At 36.5% G+C, this 12,098-nt stretch overlaps 1 long non-coding RNA gene across 1 annotated transcript in view; it reads right to left on the reverse strand.

Moving 5' to 3' along the window:
* Positions 1-12,098, reverse strand: part of LINC01592 (long intergenic non-protein coding RNA 1592) — a 192,388-nt gene that overhangs the window by 40,122 nt on the left and 140,168 nt on the right. The window contains exon 3 of the long non-coding RNA NR_039986.1: positions 2,134-2,238. This is a non-coding gene — a long non-coding RNA (long intergenic non-protein coding RNA 1592). The remainder of the gene's footprint in view (positions 1-2,133; positions 2,239-12,098) is intronic.

The raw sequence follows: 12,098 nt of genomic DNA on the forward strand, positions 1-12,098 counted from the left end.
GCCAAGATCACACCACTGCACTCCTGCCTGGGCAGCAGAGAGAGGGCCTGTCTCAAAAAAACAAACAAACAAAAGCAAATAAACAAAAAAACAATAAAAACTATTCAAACTCTATTCAAACTGAAGGTTAGGTAAAGTAAAACCTAAAGAAACAAAAATGAACAGAGTGTCTGTGATCTATGAAAAGATATCAAGCATTGTAACAGATACATAACTGGAGTCTCAGAAAGAGAAAAAAGAGATAGGGATGGGGAAAAAAAAGCATTTTGGAAAAGAACGGCCAAAACTTTTTCATTGACTCTTACTCCACATCATTCATGAAAATTAACTCAAAATTAAGTATAGACTTGTATGTATGTGCAAATCTGTACAACTTTTGGAAGCAAACATAGGAAAAAATGTTTTTGTCTATTCACAGCCAAATATTTTGACAGAAGAAGCACAAGCCATGAAATAAAAAAAAATGTATATATAAAATTAGACTTTGGAAACAACTAAAAACATGTGCCCTTTAAAGAAAACTGTTAAAATCAAACCACTAAGTATAAGGAAATACTTTTGATATATATAAATCTGTTAAAAGACCTGTGTCCAGGAAAGACAGACACTTCACAAAGGAAGATATAAAATGGCCAATAATGACATAAAAGATGTTCAACATCTGTAGCCATCAAGGAAATTCAAATTAAAACTACAATAATATCTTACTACACACCAGGGGTGTCTAATTTTTTGGCTTTCTTGGGCCACATTGGAAGAAGAAGAATTGTCTTGGGCCACACATAAAATACACTAACACTAATGATAGCTGATGAGCTAAAAAAATTTGCAAAGAAATCTCATAATATTTTAAGAAAGTGTATGAACTTGTGTTGGGCTGCATTCAAATGCATCCTGGGTCGCGGGCTGGACAAGCTTGCTATAACTGTCAGAATGGCTAAAATTAAGAAGTCTAATGGTACCAAAAGTTGGTTAAGATATGGAGGAACTGGAACGCCCTCATATTGCCAGTGGGAACAAAATGCTACAACCATTTTGGAAAACAATTTGCTGTTTTTGTTATGTTTTGTTTTACAGTTAAACACACACTTACCATGTGATCCAACAATTTCCCTCCTAGGTATTTACCCAAGATAAACTGAAACACACACCCACACAAGAATTTGTATATGAATGTTCATAGCAGCTTTATTCATAATTGCCAAAAACTGGGAACAATCAAAATGTCTATCAACAGGTGAATTAATAAAGAAATGATGGTTTATTCATATAATGGGATACTGTTTAGTTAAAAGGAACAAACCACTGATACAGGTAAAAATGTGGATGAATCTCAAAATCATACTAAAGGGAAAAAAGACAAAGACACAAAAGAGTGTCTGTCTGATTTCCTTTAAGATCAATGGTTGCCTGGGACAAGACTGCAAAGAAGCAGGAGAAAACATTTTGGCATAATGGAGATATTTTATTTCATGATTGAGGGGGTGGTTACATGAGTCCATATATATGTAAAAACTCATTGAACTGTACACTTAAAATGCATGCACTTGTGGTACAGTTATGTGTTGTTTAATGGGGGGTATGCATTCTGAGAAATGCATCAGTATGCAATTTACTGACTGTACCAAGAACATAGAGTGTACTTACACAAATCTAGATGGTCAGCCTACTACACACACACCTAGGCTATATGGCATAGCTTATCGCTCTTAGGCTACAAACCTGCACAGCATGTTACTGTACTGAATACTGTAGGCAATAGTAACACAGTAGTTTTTGCGTACCAAAACACAGAAAAAACAGCTAAACAACAGGAAAGGTATACTAAAAATGCAGTATAATCTTATGGGACTACCTTGGAATGTGCGGTCCATCCTTGACTGAAACATCACTATGGGGCAAGAGACTGTATATAAAATAAGCCTCAATAAAGTTGTTTTAAAATAAGATTAAAAAGTTCATAAGAGAGGAAACATATAACCAAGATCGAGAACTTTCATGATAGAATATGAATTCTCATTAAATGAGCAGACACTGTTTTGAAGAATTGATGCTCAACAATCCACAAGCAAGTGTGGTATTTAACTCAAGGTTATATGTATGATTTGTCTGTCTGATGATGTTAAAACTTACCTCACTCTTCAATCCAAACTTTATCTTTATTTCCCTGTCTTAGGTTGTCCAGTACACTAGGGAAAGACAGCATCAATATTAGGCATACAGATGGTTTGTTAACGGCTGTGTGAAAATAAGAAAAATTATAATGTTCTTCATTATGCAGATTATTATAAAGAGATAATTTGCATATTGATTTAAGTATGTTTTGTTCCTAGGGATGTCAGACTCATAATTATTCCTACATGGTTTTAATACTCAGGTTGTAAGGCTTTATTTCAAAACATTTAGCATTTATATCCCACTCAAATATAAAATTACAATTCTAGACAAGTTCTAGGAAACAGCATAAAAATGGTAATAGAATATATTTTAAGTGATTCAGGTGGAGTGTATTGTTTATAGAAGATATTATACATAAATAAAAGCTTTTAAAGGTTAATGCTTTTCGTATCTGTTTGGTAATTCCAAACACCCTCTCTACTCCCACTATTAACCTAGCACATTTATATGTGGCATTTAAAAATTGCTCACCATAGTGCCCTTAGTAGATAAAAAGAACCCTGAATAATGAAACTGAGATAGCCAAGTGTAAAGGGGTCCCCAGAAAAACTCCAACTGGCCTGTGCATTGGGAGGAGTGTGCACCGGGTTGGAGCCTCAAGAAGTTTGTGCAGTTTGCATGGAGGGAGAAGCCTGGCCTCTCCTGTTCCAGGGTGGAACCTGGAATTCAATCTGCTAGGTGGGAAGCCTATCCCAGCAGTACTCTATCCTGCTGAGAGTCCCTGTTTCCCTTTTTTTCCTTTTTGCCCAATAAATTCCATTTCTCTCACCCTTCAAAGTGTCTGTGAGCCTAATCTCTCATGGCCGTGTGACAAGAACCTGGCTTTCAGCTGAACTAAGGAGAAAGTCCTACAACAAAATATTGATAATAAATAAGGGATGCATACCTAAATTCCTCCTTTTGGTTGTAAGGTTACCACTCTTATCACTTACCAAGACTATCCAATTATATAAAAAATGTTCATTAAAGATGATGGTAATAAACAATTGCACAAATTATTAGGAGATTAAATATGGTGGACAAAGCAGTTTTTTATTGATAGTAGTTTTTGTACACATTTATGGAGTATATGTACATTTTGTTATATGTATACACTGTATAATGATCAAGTTAGGGTATTTGGGGTGTATTGGGAACATTTCAAGTCCTCTCTTCTAGAAACTTTGAAATATACAATATGCTGTTAACTATGATCATGCTACTCTGCTATTGAACATTAGAACATATTCCTTCTCACTAACTGTATGTTTATACCCATTAACCAACCCCTCCCACCCACAGGCACACCCTAACCAGCTGCCAGTATCTATTATTGTTCTACTCTCTATCTCCATGAGATTCACTTTTTTAGTTCCTTCATGTGAGTAAGAACATGCAATGTTTGTCTTTCTGTATCTGGCTTCACTTAGCACTTTCACTTAACACAATGGCCTCCAGTTCCATTCATGTTGCTGTAAATGACACTCTCAGTTTAAAAAAATATTAAAATTAGAGGAAACATTATGAGTTAATTGAAAAATCAACCAATATGTATTTCCGGAAAAGAGAAGAAAACCATTATTATACAGATATTCAGAATTTATTTAGTTTGTAAACCTACCTCCCGTCTACCTTAATCTGAAAGAAGTTATATAACATGTAATAATTATGATAGGGTAGGATAAAGGCCATTATCTCCATTTTGTAGTATCTATTAATTTCTCCAAGGAAGTACTGAACAAAGTGTACTTAAATTAAAACCATGTATGGGCTCGGCGCGGTGGCTTATGCCTGTAATCCCAGTACTTTGGGAGGCCAAGGCAGGCGAATCACCTGAGGTCAGAAGTTCAAGACCAGCCTGGCCAACATGGCAAAACCCCGTCTCTACTAAAAATACAAAAATTGGCTGGGCGTGGAGGCACACACCAGTAGTCCCAGCTACTCAGGAGGCTGAGGCAGGAGAATCACTTGAATCTGGGAAGTTTGGGCAACAGACAGAGACTCCATCTTAAGAAAATAAAACAAAACAAAACATATATGTACATAATTTTGATACTTCATTAACCTTCTGGGCTTTCATAACTAAGTCATGAATCAGATATGATAATTCAGATGTTTTAGGTTCAATAAGCTCCATATTAGAACTGGATTTCGATGGAAATATTTATAAGACACTTTTGTTTATAGAATGGAATATGTGGTTACCACTGAGATCTTGGTTACCACTGAGATCTTCTTTTCTTTAAACAAGAACGTTCATCCACACTCTCATGGTAAACACCAGTTGTTGGCATTAAAATTGCTCATACAATACTGGAGCAAATATACAACCTTAGAACACATGAAGACCATCCAAAGATGTTTATATTAAGAAACCATGGCTTATAAAGAAGAGTATAACTCTGTAATATTAAAAAGCATTCTTCAGAAGTAAAAAGCCTTCCCAGATAGCCAAAGAAGCAATGCACGAAGTGTATGAAGAAGAAGCTATTTACTCTTCTGAGTCACTCAAACACCGTTTTATTCATCAAAAAAAGAGTTTCACTGGGAAATGCAACTTTTTCTTCCTTTTTTTGAGACGGATTCTCGTTCTGTCACCCAGGCTGGAGTGCAGTGACATGATCTTGGCTCACTGCAACCTCTGCCTCCCAGGTTCAAGCAATTCTCCTGCCTTGGCCTCCCAATCCCAAGTAGCTGGGATTATAGGTGTGTGCCACCACCCCTGGCTAATTTTTTGTATTTTTAGAAAAGATGGGGTTTTACCATGTTGGCCAGGCTGGTCTCAAATTCCTGACCTCAGGTGGTTCATCCCCCTCGGCCTCCCAAGGGCTGGGATTACAGGCGTTGGTTTTTTATTTTTTATTTTTTGGAGACAGAGTCTTGCTCTATCGCCCAGGCTGGAGTGCAGTGGCATGATCACAGCTCTCTGCAACCTCCGCCTCCCAAGTTCAAGCAATTCTCTGACTCAGCCTCCTCGGTAGCTGGGATTACAGGTGCCCACCACCATACCTGGCTAATTTTTTTTGTATTTTTAGTGGAGACGGGTTTCACCATCTTGGCCAGGCTGGTCTTGAACTCTTGACCTGGTGATCCATCCATACAAGCGTTGCTTTACATATTGCTTCATCACCCAGGTATTAAGCCCAGTACCCAATAGTTATCTTTTCTGCTCCTCTCCCTCCTCTCACCCTCCATCCTCAAGTAGGCCCCAGCATCTGTTGTTCCTCCTCTGTGTGTCCATGTGTTCTTATCATTTAGCTCCCACTTATAAGTGAGAACATGTGGTATTTAGTTTTCTGTTCCTGCATTAGTTTGCTAAGGATAATAGCCTCCAGTTCCATCCATGTTCCTACAAAAGACATGATCACGTGTTTTTTATGACTGCATAGTATTCCAAAGTGTATATGTACCACATTTTCTTCATCCGACCTGTCATTGATAGGCATTTAGGTTGATTCCACGTCTTTGCTATTGTGAATAGTGCTGCAATGAACATTTGCATCATGTGTCTTTATGGTAGAATGATTTATATTCCTCTGGGTATATACCAAGTAATGGAATTGCTGATTCAAATGATAGTTCTGCTTTTAGCTCTCTGAGGAATTGCCATACTGCTTTCCTTATGGTTAAGCTAAATTACACTCCCACCAACAGTGTATAAGTGTTTTTATCCCTCCACAACCTCACCAGCATCTGTTATTTTTTGACTTTTTAATAATCATTCTGACTGGTGTGAGATGGTATCTCATTGTAGTTTTTATTTGCATTTCTCTAATGATCAGTGATATTGAACTTTTTTCATATTCTAGTTAGCTGCATGTATGTCTTCTTTTGAGAAGTGTCCATGTTCTTTGCCTACTTTTTAATGGGGTTGTTTTTCTCTTCTAAATTTAAGTTCCTCACAGATACTTTGTCAGGTGCATACTTTGCAAAAATTTTCTCCCATTTTAAATATTGTCTGTTTACTCTGTTGATAGTTTCGTTTGCTGTGCAGAGCTCTTAGGTTTAATTAGATCTCATATGTCAATTTTGGCTTTTGTTGTGATTGCTTTTGGCATCTTTGTCATGAAACGTCGTTTGTTCCCATATCCAGGATGGTATTGCCTAGGTTGTCTTCCAGGGTTTTTATAATTTTGGGTTTTACATTTAAATCTTTAATCCATCTTGGGTTGATTTTTGTGTATGGTTTAAGAAAGGAGTCTAGCTTCAATCTTCTGCATATGACTAGCCAGTTATCTCAGCGTCATTTATTGAATAGGGAGTTATTTACCCATTGCTCATTTTTGTCAGCTTTGTTGAAGATCAGGTGGTCATAGATGTGTGGCCTTATTTCTGGGCTTTCTATTCTGTTCCATTGATCTCCAGCTGATAAACAACTTCAGCAAAGTTGCAGGATACAAAATCAATGAACAAAAATCATTAACATTCCTATACACCAACAACAGCCAAACCAAGAGCCAAATCTACAAAGGCAATCCCACTCACAATTGTCACAAAAAGAATAAAAAACCTAGGAAAACAGCTAACCAGGGGAGAGGTGAAAGATCTCTACAGTGAGAATTACAAAACACTGCTCAAAGAAATCAGGGAACAGACAAACAAATTAAAAAAACATTCAATGTTCATGGATAGGAAGAATCAATATCATTAAAATGGCCATACTGCTCAAAGCAATTTACAGATTCAGTGCTATTTCTATCAAACTACCAATGACATTTTTCACAGAACTAGAAAAAAAAAACTATTTTAAAATTAATATGAAACAAAAAGAGCCCAAATAGTCAAGGCAACCTAAGCAAAAAGAATAAAACTGGAGGCATCACTTTTCCTGACTTCAAACGGTACTACAAGGCTACAGTAACCTAACCAGCATGGTGCTGGTACAAACACAGGCAGAGAAATGGACCATTTTTAAGAGCCTTTGACAACATCTACAAACAGCAAACTTCAGCTAATAATCATAATTTGTACTTTTATCATTAAGGAATGCACTGAATCAATGGTATTAGTTTTGTGAAACAAGGAGCTCAGAGCTAAGCTGCTTAGAACTGGTATCGGGGACTCTGTAATACCATCAGTGATGCAGGCAGACTCCCTCCAACTTTCTGTTCAGAGGTCCATGGTGCAGCACTCATATGCATGGCTGTTGCCTTATGGTCACAAGTTGGATTCTCTAAAACCAGCATATTAAGTAGGAAGAAGTAGAAGAACAAAAGTTGTTTACCAATGGAATTGAGTCTCTTTTAAAGAGTTTTCCTTGAAGTCTCTCCCAGAAACTTCCACTTTTGTTTCATTGGCCAGAATGATCACATGGCCACTTCTACCTGCAAAGGAGGTTAGGAAATGCAATTTGCAGCTGGCTACGTACAGCCTCACTGAAAATCAGGTTATATTACAAAAACTGAATGGGAAATAGACGTTGAGTAGGTAAGCAGAAACGTCTGCCATGGTGATCAGAAATTTGTGTGAACAATAGAAATGCTGCATTTGTTGAGCATGATGGGATTATTTTAACTTTCTCTAAGAAACAAAAGTCTTTTATACTGAAATTTTAATCTGAATTATTTGCTGTGAGGGCCAATGCTGTGCTTCACTGTTAACCTTTATTAATCAAATGAATGTGTTTGGAAACAGTTTGTAATACTAGATTTTAAATAAAAAATGCTTTCTTTTGGCAACAAGTATACCTGGACAAATCCTATTTGTAATATAGATTAGCACTTTCGCCAAATAATCTCACAGTATATTTTATACTTAGTGGGTATTTTTTCAAAAATTAGATTTCTATATCATATTCCATATGGTTTGTGTTCATTTAAAAAAAAAAAAGAAGCGTAAGTGGCTCTGGTGCCCTGCTATGATGAGGTATTTCCAAAAGTCCTTCTAACTAAAATATGGCACTTATAACTAATCCCTTTAAAATGAATTGTACATATGTGAGCATTTGCATTAACTATAATTAGCTAACCACAGCCTATGCTTATATCTATATGGTATGTGTAATCTGTTTATAGAACAGGGCAAATGACATAATGTAGATCTTGGCAAATAATCACATTCTCCTTCCACAAATAACATTTGAAATGATAAAAACAACATACAGATGAATAGCTCCCAATAGGTAAAATCATTATAACCCACATTTGCCAACATAATTTTAATCCCATTTGTTGGTCACATATTTTGAGAGGGAGATGTACAATTCCAGTTTATGGCTCAATATTTCACTTTGACAGAAAGCCACTCTCGGGCATCAAGGATTTGAGACCAGGCAACACTGCAGTTGGAAAGGATGAGGGGTGCATGAGAAAGCTGAGGTCTGGGCTGAGCCACATGCTCCAGGTTAGCCTTGCTAAAAATGCCAACACCAGGATCCGATGCACAGTCTCAACCTCATTGTGCCCACCTCCAAATCCTTTGAAACAGATTCCAATGATAGATCCCCTCTCCTTTCTCCCTAAAAGAGAATGTCATCTTCCTCCCTTCTCTGCTTCCTGCCACATGACAGTGTGGAAGCTCCTAGCACATCCCTAATGTGGAAGGACATGTCTCCTCCCTAGTTTTATTCAAACGGATGGATTGCAATTATCACTAATTGGTGTTGCCATTAATCACTGATTTTCTTCAATATATCCTCCTAGGATCCCAACTACTGCTAACTGAATTCCCAGTTACTTTCTCATAAGTAGTTTCCCATTCCTTGAAGAGATTCTTTAAATGAACACACATGTCTTCCTGATTATGAAATATTTCCTATTCATTCTAAGTAATTGTGAATATTTAGAAAGGTAAAGAGAAAGAAATTTTAAATTATCTAAAATTTAGAGATAACAGTTGTTAGCATTTTTTAATGTATTTTTTTTCTATGTATATACATTTAAAAATTCAGGCTCATACTTATGGACAATTGGCAATTGAGATACAAATAATATTATAACTTGTTTTCCAATGCCACTAAATATTCTTTGTAATATTCTAGGTATCTTTAGGGTCCTTGTCATGCCAGAATTGAGCTAATTGGATTGCTATTGTTTTCATTGTTGATATTATAATTAATAGCAATCTTTATACAAAAATAGTATCTGTGTTTTTGATGATTTCCTGAAGCTTGATATATCATTTGTCATGTTTTCAATGCCTAGTAAAAGATGAGCAAACTCTGTATGTTGTTTAAAAAGATATTTAGTAACTTACTTAACAAAAACTCTTACTATTATGGGGTAGCATATAAAAAATTGATTTAAATTCTGACTTCAGGCAATTTCTCTTTCCAAAAAGAATGTACAGTGACATATACTCTTAACTTTGGCCAGTGGATCGGATTCCAGTTCTCGTCAATCGTTTCTTGCAACCACTCCAGAGAATGGTTATAATGCCAGCAAGTCCGCTTCCTGCAGGTGTCTGCAGGTTTCCATGCTCTAGCACTTCTATTGCCTGTCAAAAAGATGTTGAGATCCTACTGTGAACAACATTTGGGTAGAAGGGGAACATTATGTAAGCAGTTTGCTTGTACAACCTATTTGATTGGATGAGATTGCCCTTTTGTTTAAAAAGGAGATTTTGTCAAACTACCTTACAGAATTGTTGAGGTTTTAGCTGTAAAATCATCTGGTACACAGTGAAAATTCAAGTCACATTAAATGTTTTAACCTTAAAGATCCTGAAAGATGGCCTGAGAGACATAAAAAATCATTCCTTTATATTCAAGAGGCCATGGGATGCTTAGGAAACTTAAAGTAATTAGAATAGGGAATACAACATAATTAACTAACTACAAAATGTACTTTCATAAGAGGATGAAAGAATCAGAGACTATAGTGAGGATACTAACAACATATTCTCCAACAAATTCCTTTCCAGAACATACACTCCAGCATATTCTCCACTGTTGTCCAGGTTGGTTAAGCCACTTTTCCAGGTGTCATATTTAGTTCATGGTGAAAACTGGATAAGAATTCACTTTTCCTCATTCTCTACGTGGTTTTCTTCCCCTACACCAGGTTGCCATTGCAATATCACCATGTGCTAATATTTTGTGCTTTTATTTTCATGAGGCTTCAGCAGATTTGGGGTGGTGGCCCAGAAATATGTAGTTTTAACAACCTCTTAAATGTTTCCTTCCTGTGGACCACCCTTTAAGGAACACTGTTTTGAATGATGTGGCTACTTTATTTCTGAAAGTTTTTATTTCCGTGTGCTGGCAAAATAGATATAAATGGAGCAAAATCTTTTTAAAAGCATGTTGATGTCTTCAGTTTACAAATTGGTCTATGCCTAATTCCAGAGCTACAGAGAGAATTAATGTTTCTTCTTTGGTTCAGATCAGGTCTGTTTCTTATCTTGCATGAGATTGTGAGAATTAAGTTATTATCAATATGGAAGAAAGGTGATAAACACAAATTGACATGTATGCCCAATTGGAAAATACATTTAAAGACTTTCCTTTGTATCTATCACCTGTATCGATTTCTACTTGACACAACACCGGTGGAGATGATACTTCCCAGAATACAGTTCACCACCAGACTCCTCCATGATTCTTCCTACCTGGAACATCTTCTGGGGTTGGAGTCTCTAAATTGATGCTGAGAGAAAAGCTTAAGGAAGTAATCACCAGCACTCTGGCGACCTCCAAAATCAGCTCTGTTGCAAAAGCAAAATAACTGCCTGATTTTCTACAAAGTCTGAGGCCTTGAGGTGGAGGAAAGATGGGAGAAAGAAGAGAAGTTTTCATGATCAAGACAGTTTTCTGGACCCATGGCTGTGCTGGGCCTTTGGACAATGTCAAAAAACAAGTTAAGAGCCTTCCTGGGCACTAAAAATATAGAGTTAAATTAAATATTTTCTTTGTCTCTAAGGACTAACAGGCAACCAAATGAATGATGACAGTCCAGAGTAATGAGGACTGCCATAGATAATGCATGGTACTAAGGAGACACAGAAGAGAAGTAAATAACCCCATTGCTTAGATAGTATACGCTTTGGGGAAAAAAACAAAAAGCAAAACATGGGTCACTGGGAGGTGACTGGCATGACAACATGGCATTCATGCAAGATGTAAGCCACATCCATAGGCATGGATATGATCCAAAGGAAATAGACACTATGATACCCGAGCATAAAATCCTTTGTGGAGAGCTAAAGAAGAATGACCTTCGGCAATTCATGCAGAAGGGAAATGGGAAAGCAAATTTTAGCTGAAGCACATAAAAATGTGAACATACAGTTGTAAAGAAAATGATTTGAAATCATGTCCTGGTTCTCTCACTACTGAGCTGTGTATGTCAAGCTATATTCCGTCTCTGGATCTCATTCCTCAGGCATAAGGCAAGATGGGTGGACAGGATGGATTCTGAAGTCCACTCCAGCTCTAATATTCTCTAGTTCTGTCTTAGTCATGGAAAGCAGAAACAATACACAGCTTCAGTTAAATAGTTTCCATCAAAGAAGGTGGAGCAGCTCTCACCTCTATAGTGAGGGAAGAAAGGAAGCAGCCACTGAACAATGGCAGGTCCCCAAGGGAAGCATAGTTGGTGGGTATATTACAGATGTTGGAAATTTAAAAATAATATATGCCGTATATATTAAGATGTGAAGTTTCAGGCTAATATAATAGCAAAAATGAATAAAGTTAATTTTTCCTGATTTAAAAAATGGTAATAATAAGGAAAAATTCTTTTTCAGAAAGGAAAAGCATGCATTTACAAGTAAAATGAAGCTAAAAGGAATAAAATGAACAGGGCTGATGGTTCTTAGCAGTCAAATGTTTGCAAGTCTGCTGTTTATAATAAACTTAGACTTTAAATTGAGTAATTATTTTATTGAGCTGGCTTTTCTTTTGAAAATAGTTACATCAAATAGTGTGAAAATAGATCCAGATGTAGTTGCTTCTTTGAGATTATTGGGACTATATGAGCAAATGGAAGATAGGTCATTTGATT

This window comes from Homo sapiens, chromosome 8 (genome assembly GCF_000001405.40).
Source record: "Homo sapiens chromosome 8, GRCh38.p14 Primary Assembly".
Taxonomy (NCBI): domain Eukaryota; kingdom Metazoa; phylum Chordata; class Mammalia; order Primates; family Hominidae; genus Homo; species Homo sapiens.